Here is a 17,055-nt window from a genome sequence, read left to right as displayed (position 1 = left end):
GACCAGCTTGGCCAATATGACGAAACCCTGTCTCTACTAAAAATACAAAAATTAGCCAGCATGGTGGCACATGCCTGTAGTCTCAGCTACTAAGGAGGCTGAGGCAGGAGAATCACTTGAACCCAAGAGGTGGAGGTTGCACTGAGCCGAGATCGCATCACTGCGTTCCAGCCTGGCCAACAAGAGCGAAACTCCGCCTCAAAAAAAAAAAAAAAAAAAAAAAGAGAGAGAGACAAGGAGGCTTTTAAAAGCTGCAGGTGCTGCTAACAGACTTTAAATTCATAAGCAAACAATAAAGGAGACAGTGTTGGCCATTAATAAGTACACTGAAGAAACCATAATCGTGACTCAGGGGAAGGGAACCACTTTCACCTAGGAAGTTAGGGAAGGCTTCCTGGAGGAGGGAGTATTTGAACTGAGACTGAATGACAAAGAACCAGCCACGTGAACATCTTGAGAAGAGCATTTCCAACAGTGAGGCCAACCAGGACAGATGGCCTGAGAAGGAAACAAGGCAGGGTTGGAGCTCCATAAAATAGACCAAGGTGGTCAGAGTCAGACAGCAGAAAGTCTTCTTTGTACAAAGAGAGAGGGAGGGAAGTCATCAGAGGGTTGTTCTTGTTTCGATTTGTGGTTGAGGATTTGCATTTTTAAATAAAACAAAAGTATATGAGGCAGATATTAAGTTACTTTTACAATTTTCTAGCCAGGCACTTTGGCTCATGCCTGTAATCCCAGCACTTTGGGGGGCTGAGGCAGACAGAACACTTGAGCCCAGGGTTCGAGACCAGCCTGGCCAACATGGTGAAACCCCATCTCTACTAAAAATACAAAAATTAGCCAGGCATGAGGGCACACACCTGTAGTCACAGCTACTCGGGAGGCTGAGGCACGAGAATCACTTGAACCCAGAAGGTGGAGGCTACAGTGAGCCGAGATTGTGCCACTGCACTCCAGGCTGGGCAACAGAGTGAGACTCTGTCTCAGAAAAAAATTTTTAAAGAAAAGAAGGAAGGCCAGGTTATGGCGGATCACGCCTGTAATTCCAGCACTTTGGGAGGCCAAGGTGGGCGGATCACGAGATCAAGAGATTGAGACCATCCTGGCCAACATGGTGAAACCCCATCTCTACTAAAAATACAAAAATTAGCTGGGTGTGGTGACGCGCGCCTGTAGTCCCAGCTACTCGGGAGGCTGGGGCAGGAAAATTGCTTTAACCCAGGAGGCAGAGGTTGCAGGGAGCCGATATCACACCACTGCACTCCAGCCTGGTAACAGAGCAAGACTCCATCTCAAAAAAAAAAAAAAAAAAAAAAAAAAAAAGAAAAGAAAAAATTGTAAAAGTAAAATTAAGCAAATCTTTTTTTTTTTTTTTTTAAGAGATGGGATCTCACTATGTTGTCCAGGCTGGGCTGGAACTCCTTGGCTCAGGAGATCCTCCTGTCTCAGTTTCTTGAGTAGCTGAGACTACAGGCATGTGCCACCATGTCTGGCAATGTTTATTGTTTTAAAGTCTCTATTCATGTCAAGCTTTAGTCATGGTTTAAATAACAGTTGACTTTTTATTGAAATAAAACTACAGTATTTATGCAATCTAATTCTAGAGAGCCCAATGAAGTGGAAATAATGTCTTCATAAAAATTATATTAAAGGCCAGGCGCGGTGGCTCAAGCCTGTAATCCTAGCACTTTGGGAGGCCGAGGCGGGCGGATCACGAGGTCAGGAGATCGAGACCATCCTGGCTAACATGGTGAAACCCCGTCTCTACTAAAAATATAAAAAAAAAAAATTAGCCAGGCGTGGTGGCGGGCACCTGTAGTCCCAGCCACTCGGGAGGCTGAGGCAGGAGAATGGCTGAACCCAGGAGGCAGAGGTTGCAGTGAGCCAAGATCATGCCATTGCACTCCAGCCTGGGCGACAGAGCAAAACCCCATCTCAAAAAAAAAAAAAAAATTAAGCAAATCAATATTTGAAAATAGAATCTAGGAATTGTAATGCTATAAAAACTTGAATGTAATGCTATAAAACTAAATAATAGCAGTTAAACCAGAAAGAGATCAATCAATGACTTTTTTTTTTTTGAGACAGAGTTTCGCTCTTATTGCCCAGGCTGGAGTGCAATGGCACAATCTCAGCTCACTGCAAGCTCCACCTCCCAGGTTCAAGTGAGTCTCCTGCCTCAGTCTCCCAAGTAGCCTCCCACCACGCCCGGCTAATTTTGTATTTTTGGTAGAGATGGGGTTTCACCATGTTGGTCAGCTGGTCTCTAACTCCTGACCTCAAGTGATCCATCCGCCTCGGCCTACCAAAGTGCTGGATTACAGGCGTGTGTGAGCCACTGGCCAGCCCCAATCAATGACTTTTAAAGAGAGAAAGATGGCTGAGCATAGTGGTAGACCGTGGCTGTTGGCTTTCGAGGTGTGAGCCAATGGTGCCAGAGCCTATGGAGGTGGCCATAGAGTTTGACTCAAGGGGTTGAATTCAGGATTAAGGGAGATAAATGGGGCACATGAGTGTCATCCAACAAAGGTGCTGTGGTGGCTGGGTGCAGTGGCTCACGCCTATAATCTCAGCACTTTGGGAGGCCAAGGCAGGTGGATCACGAGGTCAGGTGTTCAAGACTAGCCTGACTAACATGGTGAAACACCGTCTGTACTAAAAATACAAAAATTAGCCAGGCATGGTGGCATGTGCCTGTAATCACAGCTACTCAGGAGGCTGAGGCAGGGCAATAGCTTGAACCCAGGAGGCGGAGGTGGCAGTGAGCCGAGATCACACCACTGCACTCCAGCCTGGGTGACAAGAGTGAAACTCTGTCTCAAAAAAAAAAAAAAAAAAAAAAAAAAAAAAAAGATGCTGTGGCTGTTTGTGTTCTGGGTGATGTTCCTGACCATGTGATCACTGGTGCCATTCAAACTGTCCCAGCCTTTCTAGCCAGCTCCCCAGAAAAGATTTCTATGGCCTTTGGGATGCATTTCTTCCCAGTATTCAGTGCCACACTGTCTGCTCCCAAGCTTCTGAGAGCCTCAAAGGAGAAAGCATAAGGATGTCTAGGGGCAGGATGCAGAGTGTGCAGAGCATCGGGCCAGGCCTGCATCAGCTGACTCTACTGGGCCTCAGTTTTCTCATCCATATAACTGGGCTGGTGGCAAGATGATAGTTCTGATATTTTGTAAATCTATAGGGTGAATTTTTCAGTTGAACAAGTTATACATTCACATGCTACAAAATTCAAGAAGTGCCAAAGAGTAGACTATCTTCTGTCCCCATTACCCAGCAGCCATTCAGTTTCCGTCCCTGAAGCCAATGGGTTAATCATTTTCTCGTTTATCCTTCCAGAACCACTCCTTGCGCAATAATGCACATTTATAAAACCTTAACAATGATAAATACCATAACACCAGTTTGTGCCTTGCTTTTTAATTCACCTGCATAGGACGGGGGCATTCATATCAGCTAACATTAGGTTGGTGCAAAAGTAATTGTGGTTTCTGCAATTACTTTTAATACCTCCTCATTCTTATGATGGCTGCATAATGTTCTTCAGTAAGGAGGTACCATCATTTCTTTGGCCAGTCTACTATTGATGAGCAAGCAACTTGGCGATATTTGCCAAAATTTACCATGCATATTTTACTTTGATGCAGCTGTTTTATTTCTAGGAATTGATCCAGCAGATATTCTCCCTGGTGTGAGATGTTTGATGTTCTCACTGGTGGAGAATCTCTGCTGGATCAATTTCTAGAAATAAAATATTAATTCTTCCCATCCATGAACGTGGGCTATCATTCCATTTATTTGTATCTTCTTTAATTTCTTTCATCAATGTTTTATAGTTTTATAGTGCACAGATCTTGCACCTCCTTGGTTAAATTGTGAAAATTATGTACCAGTATACAATTTTAAGTAACATTTATTATATAATTAAATACATGGTTATTCTGGCTGGGCTTGAGTGTACTGGTGCAATCATAGCTCACTATGACTTCAAACTCATGGGCTCAAGCATTTTTCCCACCTCAGCCTCCCAAGTAGCTGGGACTACGGGTGCATACACCACCACGCCTGGCTAATTTTTTGTAGAGACAGGGTCTCACTATGTTTCCCAGGCTTGTCTCACACTTCCGGCCTCAAGTGATCCTCCTGCTTTGGCCTCCCAAAATGCTGATATTACAGGCTTGAGCCACCATACCTGTCTACATGCTGAATTTTTTAATTTTTTAAGGCAACAGAAGAGTTTATAAGAGATAAGAAACAGAGACCAGGCATTGTGGCTCACGCCTGTAATCCCAGCACTTTGGGAGGCTGAGGCAGGCAGATCACCTGAGGTCAGGAGTTTGTGACCAGCCTGGCCAATATGGTGAAACCCCGTCTCACTAAAAATACAAAAATTAGGCAGGTGGGGTGGTGGGTGCCTGTAATCCCAGCCACTTGGGAGGCTGAGGCAAGAGAATCGCTTAAACCCGGGAGGCGGAGTTTGCAGTGAGCTGAGATCACACCACTGCACTCCAGCTTGGGTGACAGGGCGAGACTCCGTCTCAAAAAAAAAAAAAAAAAAAAAAGAGAAACAAGAAACAGAATAACACAATGTTTAGGAAAGAAGCTTCCAAAATAGTCTACATCTAAACACCAGCTTTAAGACTTCCTGGATTAGCTGCTTTTCCTTTCTGAACCTCAGTTTGTTCATCTGTAGAATGGACACAATCATCATGTCCACCTCATAGGGTCATAGTGGGGATGAAATATTAAGCATTCAATAAATGGTGGCTGCTGGTATGCTTACTGTTATAATTATCATCATTATTTTTACTCAAGTTTTATCTTTGTTTTGGATAAAATATATCTGATGGGTTCTCTGATGTGGAAACAGGCTCAGAATCCTGAAATGAGGAAAGCATTATTCCACAACCTCCCAGGGCAGCAGAAATCCTCATCTTTTCCTCTAAAAATATGAGTGTGTACAATGTGTCACATGTTAACAGGCTCCGGGGTTTTGAGCTGTGGTGTCTACCTCCACGTTTCCTAAGAGGTCAAATGACCTCCAGGTTTCATTTAAGTTTTCTATTATTCTCTTCTGAAAGGGACAACGGAGCTCTTGTTTGAACGGCTTTGGTGAGCCCAAAGGAAAATGTGGTCATTATAGACAGCACAAAAGATTCGCTTTCCATACATTAGTTTGTCAATTGCTTTCTTAATGCAAGGTTGGGTAGGGAAATAGACAGTGGGGGAGGAAAAAAAAAGATTATTTTGTGTCCACAGATAGATGTCAATATTTGACAGCAATAAATGAAATTTCATATCACATCTTTGCAAACATAAAAATCGTACAATAAGAAGTCCTGTTAAGTTTTCACTTTCTCTCTTTTCCACTGGTCTTCAACCATCACTGTGCTATGTGATGTTTATTAGATCAATAGAAAGAAGTGAGGGAGCAACACAAAGAATTGGTTTTGTTGAAATTTTAGTTGCTTCTGTCCCCTCAAAATAAAACATATGCGGCCGGGCACGGTGACTCACGCCTGTAATCCCAGCAGTTTGGGAGGCCAAGGCGGGCGGATCACCTGAGGTCAGGAGTTCCAGGCCAGCCTGGCCAACATGGTGAAACCCCATCTCTACTAAAAATACAGAAATTAGCCAGGCTACTCAGGAGGCTGAGGTAGGAGAATGGCTTGAACTCGGGAGGCAGAGGTTGCAGTGAGCCGAGATCGCGCCAATCCACTCCAGCCTCAGCGACAGAGCAAGACTCCATCTCAAAAACAAAACAACAACAAAAAAAAACTGACTTTATGATCCAGCACGAAGTTGAATATAAAGTCAAGACTATCTTAACATGCTGAGCTACAATTTTTCTCGGGAAAATTAAACAACTCCCAAAACAAAAGAAAAAATAATATTTATTCATTCTTAAGGACATCCTCAGAACTAATGCAGAGGCTGTCATTATGACTTGCATTTGGTTAAAAACACAGCATAAAGTAAGCTTATTTTTGTAGCTTTGATTTTTTTTTTTTTTCCAAGGAGATTCATTCTATCGCCCAGGCTGGAGTGCAGTGGTGTGATCTTGGTTCACTGCAACCTCTGCCTCCTGGGTTCAAGCGATTCTCTTGCCTCAGTCTCCCGAGTAGCTGGGATTACAGGCACCCGCCACCATGCCTGGCTAATTTTTGTATTTTTAGTAGAAACGGTGTTTTACCATGTTGGCCAGGCTGGTCTTGAACTCCTGACCTCAGGTGATTGATCCAGTCACCTAGGCCTCCCAAAGTGCTGGGATTACAGGCATGCGCCACCGCACCCAGACAGTTGTTTTATCTTTTGGTACTATAAATAATGCTGCATTGATGAACACTTTTCATATAAGACATTAGATATTTGTACATGTATAAGTATGTCTGCACAATAAATTCTTGGAAATACAGTTACTGGTTTAAAGGACATATATGTGTTTGTAATTTTGATAGATATGAAAATGACTGTGTTACCACATCCTTGCCCACATAGTATGTTATCAAAGTTTTTGATCATTTGTCATTTAGTAGGTGAACAAAACCAGTATCTCCCTATAATCTATTTTGCATACCTCTTATTATAAGGAAGGTTAATCACTTCCCACATGTTTAAAAGCCACTGGTATTCCCTTTTCTGTGAACTATCATATATATCCTTGTTTCAGTTTTTCTGGCAGACTCTTGGCCTTTTTCTGATTGATTTTTAGAAACTCTTTATATATAGGGAAATTAATACTTAGTAATATAAGCTGCAATTATTTTTTTCCAAGTGTCTTGTCTTTTCACTTTACTTATTATAGTTTTTGCCATGCAAGTGTTTTAATTTTATAGCTTCTGATTTATGTGTCTTAGTAAAAACGATCTCCCCCTCTTCAAGATTATTTTAACATTCTGATAGCTTCTTCTAGTGCTTTTATAATTTGTTTGTTTGCAATGAAATTTTTTATCCTTTTGAAATTCATCCTTGGGTATGCTTTGAAATGTAGCTCTAAGTTTATAGTTTTTCTAGACAGCCACTAAGTTATCCCAATACCATTTATGGTATAATTCATCTTTCCCCCTTACTCACTTTTGTTTGTTTGTTTTAGAGACAGAGTCTAGCTTTTTCGCCCAGGCTGGAGTGCAATGGCGTGATCTCAGCTCACTGCAAACTCTGCCTCCCAGGTTCAAGCGATTCTGCTGCCTCAGCCTCCTGAGTAGCTGGGATTACAGGTGCCTGCTGGCACACCCGGCTAATTTTTGTATTTTTAGTAGAGACAGGGTTTCACTATATTGGTCTGGCTGGTCTTGAACTCCTGACCTCAAGTGATCCACCCGCCTCGGCCTCCCAAAGTGCTGGAATTACAGGCGTCAGCCACCGTGCCCGGCCACCCCCTACTCATTTTAAAAGGCAATTTTTATCACATGCTAAATGCCCAAATATAATTGGCTTCACTATATATAATTTTAAAATTGTTATCTTATAAATTAATATGGCCACACAGAAGTATATGTATGTGTACACTTTGATGTTCAGCTCACTAGTGTAAGATTGCCAAAGGAAACTACTAACTACTAACCAAATCAGAATACACTGGAATAAAATGTCTTTTATATTAATGTTAGATATGTAAGCATGTACACACACACACACACACACACACACACACACCCATGTTCCCTTGGATGTGAGCCCACCAGGGCAATCTCAATTTCTTGCCAAGTTGTGAGTTAGGAATAGGTATGTGATGCAACTTTGACCAACAAGATATGAGGGAGAGTGGTTGAGAGGCCTTCAGGGAAGGTTTTCTTCACCCTTAAAAAGGGACAGAAGGCTGGGACTTTTCTTTTTGCCTCTGGACATTGCCATCTCCCTGTGACTTCTACAACTCTGCAGCCATCTTGGGGCCATGATGAGAGGCAGCCAGAGAAAACAAGCTGAGCATAGGAGAATGAAAGGAAGGAAAAATCCTGGCTCCTCCGTGGGGCGCGGTGGCTCACACCTGCAATCCCAGCACTTTGGGAGGCCAAGGCGGGCCAATCACTTGAGGTCAGGAGTTCAAGACCAGCCTGGCCAACATGGTGAAACCCTATCTCCACTAAAAATACAAAAATTAGCCTGGCGTGGTGGTAGGCACCTGTAATTCCAGCTACTAGGGAGGCCGAGGCACGAGAATCGCTTGAACCCAAGAGGCGGAGGTTGCAGTGAGCCGAGATCGTGCCACTGCACTCTAGCCTGGGAGACAGAACCAGACTCTGTCTCAAAAAAATTAAAAAAAATAAAAATCTTGGCTCCCAAATTAACTACTAAATCACCACCCTGGAGACATCCTAACGCCAAACTCCTTGAGAGACGGTTAATCAATGACCTTATTGTTCAAGCCCTGCTGAGTTGGGTTTGTGTTATTTGCAGCTAAAATATCCTAACATTCCAGCTTCCCCAAGATATTGAAACATTCAGAATGTTCTCTTCTCCTCTGTAGAGCTGAACTGACCATACCCTCTCTTTGAAGTCACCGAGTGTGGAGTAGGGTGAAAGGGAATTTAATTAAACTCAATAGGTTAAATAAAATTATAAAAATACAGGCTACCCATCCTGAGCAACATGATGAAACCCTGTCTCTACAAAAAATACAAATAAAAAGCTACTCCTCATGGAGGGGGTACTGAGGTGGGAGGATCTCTTGAGCCCGAGAGGTCGATGTTGCAGTGAGCTGAGATCGCACCACCACACCCCAGCCTTGGCAACAGAATGAGACTCTGTCTTAAAAAAAATACAGGCTACCAGTGGTCACCTACACCCCAAATATGTGATACCCTCACATGGATGCACAGAGAAAGCTGTTGGTCTCCTTATGACAAATGATATTTCCTGCATTCTAATGTAATATTGTATTTTTTAAATCATTACTTTAAAGATTAATTATTTAGAAAATAGGTTAGAAACCACCCCAAATGCCTTGGAGCTATTTTTGCAGAGACAGGAAATTACTCTATAGATTACAGAAAGTTAACACTAAAAGAAAACTTCCAGGGTCTCTAAAGTGCTGGTTTTCAACCAGATGACTTTAGAGTCATCTGGAGAACTTTAAAAAATTATGCTAACGGCTGCATCCCATCCCCAGAGATTCAGACTTTATCGGTCCAGGGTGTGGCCCAACCACCAGGATTTTTTTTTTTAAAGGTCCCCAAGTACGTATTATTTTATTTTCATTTTGTAGTACTTTGCCTTAAGGTTTTTTTCTGTTTGGTTGGGTTTTTTTTTTTTTTTTTTTTTTTTTTTTTGTTTGAGACAGAGTCTCGTTCTGTCGCCAGGATGGAGTGCAGTGGCATGATCTCAGCCCACTGCAACCTCCTCCGTCTCCCGGGTTCAAGCAATTCTCCTGCCTCAGCCTCCCAAGTCTCCCGGGTTCAACCAAGTCTCCCGGGTTCAACCAATTCTCCTGCCTCAGCCTCCCGAGTAGCTGGGATTACAGGCGCATGCCACCACGCCCGACTAAGTTTTTGTATTTTTTTAGTAGAGACAGGGTTTCACCATGCTGGCTGGCCAGGCTGGTCTTGAACTCCTGACCTCGTGATCCGCCCACCCTGGCCTCCCAAAGTGCTGGGATTACAGGTGTAAACCACCGCGCCCAGCCTGTATTTCTTTTAAGAACAATTTTAAATGAAAGAATCCCTTGCTGGTGGTTAAAAATTAATCAACTGCAGAAGGGGTAATAATGAAAACTAAGACTGCCCTGTCCCACCCCCAGGCCTACTCTTCTCAGGAAACGACTTTTAACTCTTGCTGGTTGTATTTTTTTCCGCTTTTACTCCCGAAATCTAAATAGTACATTTACACTCCTGGCTGTTGAGCATCAATTATAGAATTTAATCTTTTGACTTCCTGCTAGGGAAGAAAGAGGGTTTTTTGTTTGTTTGGTTTTTGGTTTTTTTTTGAGATGGAGTTTCGCTCTTGTCATCTAGGCTGGAGTGCAGTGACACAATTTTGGCTCACTGCAACCTCTGCTTCCCAGGTTCAAACGATTCTCCTACCTCAGCCTCCCCAGTAGCTGGGATTACAGGTGCCCGTCACCACGCCTGACTGATTTTTGTGTTTTTAGTAGAGACGGGGTTTTGCCATGTTGGCCAGGCTGGTCTCGAACCCCTGACCTCAAATGATCCACCTGCCTCGGCCTCGCAAAGTGCTGGGATTACAGGCATGAGCCACTATGCCCAGCCGAAAGAGTTCACTTTTTTTTCTTAAGGTTCCAAACAGAAAGATACAAGATAAGATAACCTTTCTAGCCATTTAAGAGATGGAGATGATTAGTGAGTTAAATGTTCAAATCTTTATAACCTGCCAAAATGCTTTGGGGAAAAATAGCCTCTTCTTAAGCTTAAATACATTGAATAAATATATTGTTTGTTTGGGCTATGGTAGTAACAAATTGTAGAGGATTTTTTTTCCTTTTCTGGGGTTTGAGAGAGGACCGTCGGGTTATCGCGGAGTGTGGATTTACATCTTGGCCTTTCCTGTTCTTCTGGATACGTAGTCCTACAGATTACAGTTGAAGAAATTGTTGCTATAGCCTTAAACCATGCTTCTATGTATTCATTCAACAAACACCAGGAAGAGTGAGGCATTCATGATCCCAGGATAAGGGTTATTGTGGAGTGATGAAAATATTTTGGAACTAAACAGAGGTGTTGGTTGCATACCATTGTGAAAGTACTAAATACCACTGAATTGTTCACTTTAAAATAGTTAATTTTATGTTTGGTAAATTTCTCCTCAATTAAAAATGAAGGCCAGATACAGTGGCTCACACCTGTAATCCCAGAACTTTGGGAGGCTGAGGCAGGTGGATCACCTGAGGTCAGGAGTTGGAGACCAGCCTGACCAACGTGGTGAAACCCCATTTCTACTAAAACTACAAAAATGAGTCAGGCATGGTGGCGGGCGCCTGTAATCCCAGCTACTCAGGAGGTGAGGCAGGAGAATCCCTTGAACCCAGGAGTCAGAGGTTGCAGTGAGACAAGATCGCGCTATTGCACTCCAGCCTGGGTGACGAGCAAAACCCCATCTCAAAAAAAAAAAAAAAAAAATTAGTCAGGCAAGGTGGTGCACCCCTGTAGTCCCAGCTACCAGGAGGGCTGAAGTGGGAGGATTGCTTGAGTCCAGGAGGCTGAGGCTGCAGTGAGCTGTGATCGTGCCACTGCACTCCAGCTTGGGCAACAGAGCAAGACCCTGTCTCAAAAATAAAAAATAAAATAAAATAAGATAAAAAGAAAACGAGAGAGGGTTTCCATGGCCAGATCACTTGGACCCTTCTATTATTCCTCCCATCTTAGATCCATCTGTTTGTCTCTCATTATCAAAGTATCTTGCAACAATGTTCCCCAACTGCCTCTACCCTAGGATCTTCAAGATAATCTCATCCTAGAACTTATTGTAATACCTGTTAACATTCTTTGGAAACCGCTCCGGGAAATACTTTTAAGAAAACTTGCTGCTGGGCGCGGTGGCTCATGCCTGTAATGCTAGCACTTTGGGAGGCCCAGGCGGGCGGATCACGAGGTCAGGAGATCAAGACCATCCTGGCTAACACGGTGAAACCCCATCTTTACTAAAAATACAAAAAATTAGCTGGGCGTAGTGGTGGGTGCCTGTAATCCCAGCTACTCGGGAGGCTGAGGCAGGAGAATGACGTGAACCAGGGAGGCGGAGCTTGCAGTGAGCCAAGATGACTGCATTGCACTCCAGCCTGGGCGACAGAGCGAGACTCCGTCTCAAAAAAAAAAAAAAAAAAAAGAAAACTTGCTTAGCCAGGTGCAGTGGCTCATGCCTGTAATCCCAGCACTTTGGGAGGCTGAGGTGGGCAGATCACGAGGTCAGGAGATCAAGACCATCCTGGCTAACATAGTGAAACCCCGTCTCTACTAAAAAATAAAAAAAAAATTTAAAAGATATTTTCTGGGCGTGGTGGCATATGCCTGGAATCCCAGCTACTTGGGAGGCTGAGGCAGGAGAATGGCTTGAACATGGAGGCGGAGGTTGGTTGCAGTGAGCTGAGATCGTGCCACTGCACTCCAGCCTGGGCGACATAGTGAGACTCCATCTCAAACAACAAAAAAGAAAGAAAACGTGCTTATTGGCATGGAAAGATGTACATGGTGATTTAGAACACCAAGTAGTCACAAGATGGTTTATGCAGTATGATCATTTTTTGTGAAAATACTTGTGTATTTAGGCCAACAGTAGTTATCTGTTCTATATTGTAACAAGAACATTTATTTTTCTTTTTTAAAATCTGTATTTTAAAATTTGTCTAGAAGAGTTATTTGTGTAAAATTTTTTTTAAAAAGAAGTAACTATACATATTTATATTTATGTTCCATTTATATTGTACTTTTGCCATATTCTACCTACACAATTTCCCAATTTTTGTTCTTGTCTCACTACAGACTATAAGTTGGACTCTGTATTCATTAACATAACAGTGAAGGTGAGATTTCTGTTTTTCCTTTTTTTTTTTTTCTTTTGCCCAGGCTGTTGCCCAGGCTGGAGTACAGTGACGAGATCTCAACTCACTGCAACCTCTGCCTCCCAGGTTTAAGCGATCCTCCTGCATCAGCCTCCTGAGTAGCTGGGACCACAGGCACATGCCACCACACCCAGCTAATCTTTGTATTTTCAGTAGAGACAAGGTCTCCCCAAGTTGGCCAAGCTGGTCTCAAACTCCTGACCTCAGGTGATCCATCTGCCTCGGGCTCCCAAAGTGCTGATATTATAGGCATGAGCCACCGTGCCCGGCCGAGGGTGAGATCTCATGATGTGAATGAACACAGCTTCAGACTCTGGTTCCTTAGGGAAGCATGGATCTGCCTGTGTCATAGTTTCCCATTCTGTGAGTGGATTCAGCAACTCTGTTCTCACAGTCACAGTCCACGAACAATTGCAAAATCTGAAAACAAAACAGTGGCTCTATGCAGCCCAGGCAATGCAAGGAGACTTATTTAAGGAAGCACAATCAAGCAACAGAAGGAATTCTGATTTTTTCCTCTATCTAAAAAAAATTAAGAGGAGTCCATTTAAAGTGATTAGCACTATTTTTATTGTTTTATTTTTATGGATGAGATCTTGCACTGTCACCCAGGCTGGAGTGCAGTGGTACAATCATAGCTCACTGCAGCCTTGAACTCCTGCGATCAAACAATCCTCCCACCTCAGCCTCCCAAGTAACTGGGACTATATGTACGTGCCACCACACCCAGCTAATTTTTAAATAAGTTTTTGCAGCGACAGGGGTCCCGCCCACTATGTTACCCAGGCTGGTCTTGAACTGCTGGGCCCAAGCAAGCCTCCTGCCTCGACCTCCCAAAGTGCTGGAATTACAGGTATGAGCCACCAACCCCAGCCCAGTAGCACTGTTTATTAAAGTCCCCTTTCACTTTTCTCCCTAACTCACTCACAGGCCCTGCGTTAATTCCCTCTTGCTGCTGTAACATTACCACGAACTTAAAACTGAGGGGCTGGCCGGGCGCGGTGGCTCATGCCTGTAATCCCAGCACTTTGGGAGGCCGAGGCGGGCAGATCACGAGGTCAACAGATCGAGACCATCCTGGCAAACACGGTGAAACCCTGTCTCTATTAAAAATACAAAAAAAAATTAGCCGGGCGTGGTGGCGGACGCCTGTAGTCCCAGCTACTCAGGAGGCTGAGGCAGGAGAATGGCGTGAACCTGGGAGGTGGCGGAGCTTGCAGTGAGCCGAGATCATGCCACTGCACTCCAGCCTGGGCGACAGAGCAAGACTCCCTCTCAAAAAAATTAAAAAAAAAAATCTGAGGCGCTAACAAAACAAATTTATTTGTTTATTTATTTTGAGACGGAGGCTGGAGTGCAGGCGCGATCTCCGCTCACTGCAAGCTCCGCCACCTCCCGGGTTCACGCTATTCTCCTGCCTCGGCCTCCCAAGTAGCTGGGACTACAGGCGCCCAACACCACGCCAGGCTAACTTTTTTTGTGTGTGTTTTTAGTAGAGACGGGGTTTCACCGTGTTAGCGAGGATGGTCTCGATCTCCTGACCTCATGATCCGCCCACCTCGGCCTCCCAAAGTGCGGAGACTACAGGCGTGAGCCACCGCGCCCGGCCCACAAATTTATTCTTACAGTTCTGGAGGGCAGAAGTCCTAAATTAGTCTCACGGGATGCATGTCAAGGTGTTGGCAGGGCTGGTTCCTTGGGGAGTCTGGAATGGAAAGTCTACTTCCTTTCCCTCTCCTGGCTTTCCGGCTGCATCCCTTGCTCCTGAAACCCTTCTCACATCACCCGACCGCTCCTTCTGCTGGTGCATCCCCTCTCTCCTCCTTTGACTTACCTGCCGCCTCCCTCTTATAAGTAAGTACTTTTGATTACCTTGGGTCCACCCGTATAATCCAGGATGATCTTTCCATTTTAAGAGCCTTAATTTGGCTGGGTGTGGTGGCTCACAACTATAATCCCAGCACTTTGGGAGACCGAAGTGGGTGGATCATTTGAGGTCAGGAGTTCCAGACCAGCCTCGCCAATATGGTAAAACCCCGTCTCTACTAAAAATACAAAAATTAGCCAGGCGTGGTGGCGCACACTTGTAATCCCAGCTACTCGAGAGGCTGAGGCAGGAGAATCGCTTCAACTCAGGCGGCTGAGGTTTCAGTGAGCCGAGATCAGGCCACTGCACTCCAGCCTAGGCGACAGAGAGAGAGTCCATCTCAAAAAAAAAAAAAAAAAAGCTTTAATCGTATCTGCAAAGTCCCTTTGACTGTGTAAAATATTCACAGGTTTCAGCGACTAGGGCACGGATATCTTTGGGGACCATTATTCAACCGACCACAGTCCGTATAATTTCATGAGAGCCTCTTGCTCTACCAGGCGTTGTAAACTTCTGTATCCCGTTTCTCTTTCCTGCCATACTTAGCCACTGAGACTTCTACTCCTGCCCGTCGATCTTGCTCATCTGAAAAATGGGGCTAAAAAACAGCCCTGATTCTACAGGGCTGTGGTGAGACTTGGATTTAAAGCACTTAGCACTATGATCAACCGCCATCTACTGCTGGCACCGGCTCAGAGCCAGCACTCCTACCGCACCCAAATCTCATTAAATTGAGCCCCTAAACACTTGCTAGAGAGGAAGAAAATGTAAGTACTGTGGGCAATAATTTAATTCATCTGGAGCTTTTTAAAAGCATTAATTCTTGTGCCAATTCTTCCATAGGCATCTTTGGCAAGCATCTATTTTTCAAAAGGTCACAGATGGTATTGACGCAATATTGCCTTTTCACTCATTCATGAAATGCATTTATTGTTTCTATTAAATAGGACACATGATATAAGAAGACTTGCTTAAGGGCTCCATTTCGCAACAGCAATAAAAAAGGAAACAACCTAAATATCTCTCTGTAGGGGAATGGACACATGAAATGGGTATAGACATAGTGGAACCCTCTACAGCTGTTCAGATTAATGCACTAGAGCAGGGGTCAGCAAACAGTGAGCCAAAAGTGACCCATTGCCTGATTTTGTACAGCTCATGGGCTAAGAATGATGTTTACATTTTTGAATAATTTTAAAAGGACGAAAGAAGAATATTCATAATATGTAAAATTCTATGAAAATCAAATTTTAGTGTTCAATTTTACTGGAACACAGCCACATCATTCATTTACGTACTGCTATGACTACCTCTCAGCTATAGCATTAGGGTGTGGCAGAGTGAACAGGGACCCTATGGCTCACAAAGCCCAAAATATTTACTCTGGCCCTTTATAGAAAAACAGCTCTGAACAGGAGATGTATGAATCAACATGAATAGATCCCAAAAATATAATGGCAAATTTGGAAAGCAAGTTGAAGAACGATATGTAAAATACCAATCATACAATTAAAAAAAAGTATGAATTAATTTGAATTCTTTTTTTGTTGTTGTTATTGAGACAGAGTCTCTCTCTGTCACCCAGGCTGGAGTGCAGTGGTGTGATCTCGGCTCACTGCAACCTCCACCTCCTGGGCTCACGCCATTCTCTTGCCTCAGCCTCCCAAGTAGCTGGGACTACAGGCACCCGCCACCATACCCGGCTAATTTTGTTTTTGTATTTTGAGTAGAGACGGGGTTTCACTGTGTTAGCCAGGATGGTCTCGATCTCCTGACCTTGTGATCCACCCGCCTCAGCCTCCCAAAGTGGTGGGATTTCAGGCATGAGCCACCTCGCCCTGCCTGAATTCTTATATGCATGATAAAATATAAGGAACAGATTGAAAGGTACACATACCGTCTTGATAATGGTTGTCTCTGAAGAGGGAAGATGGAAAGTAGAATTTGGAAGAGCTGCCAAAGAGATTTCCAGTTTATTAATGATGACATTTCCCTTTATTAAAAAGAAACTAGCTGATGTGTTTAACAGTATTTGTTATTGGACACACTTTGTGCTATTCGGAGGTTTAACTATACACATACACACGTATTTATACATGTAATTAATTTTTTTAAAAAGCTGACTATGCATTTGTATAGTCATAATTTCTTTAAAAAAGAAATTACTGGGCGCAGTGGCTCACACTTGTAATTCTAGCACTTTGGGAGACCGAGGTAGGCAGATCACAAGGTCAGGAATTCGAGACCAGCCTGGCCAACACGGTGAAACCCCGACTCTACTAAAAATACAAAAATTAGCTGGGCGTGGTGGCAGTCACCTGTAATCCCAGCTACTCTGGAGGCTGAGGCAGGAGAATCACTCGAACCCAGGAGGCGGAGGTTGCAGTGAGCTGAGATCGCGCCACTGCACTCCAGCCTGGGCGATGGAGTGAGATTCCATCTCAAAAAAAAAAAAAAGAAAGAAAATTAAGGGCCAGGTGCGGTGGCTCACGCCTATAATCCCAGCACTTTGGGAGGCTGAGGCAGGTGGATCACCTGAGGTCAGGAGTTCAAGACCAGCCTGGCCAACATGACAAAACCCCGTCTCTACTAAAAATACAAAAATTAGCTGGGCGTGGTGGCACATGCCTGTAATCCCAGCTACTTGGGAGGCTGAGGCAAGAGAATCGCTTAGAAT

This window comes from Homo sapiens, chromosome 20 (assembly GCF_000001405.40).
Source record: "Homo sapiens chromosome 20, GRCh38.p14 Primary Assembly".
NCBI lineage: Eukaryota > Metazoa > Chordata > Mammalia > Primates > Hominidae > Homo > Homo sapiens.
Note: the sequence above shows the minus strand (reverse complement) of the source record.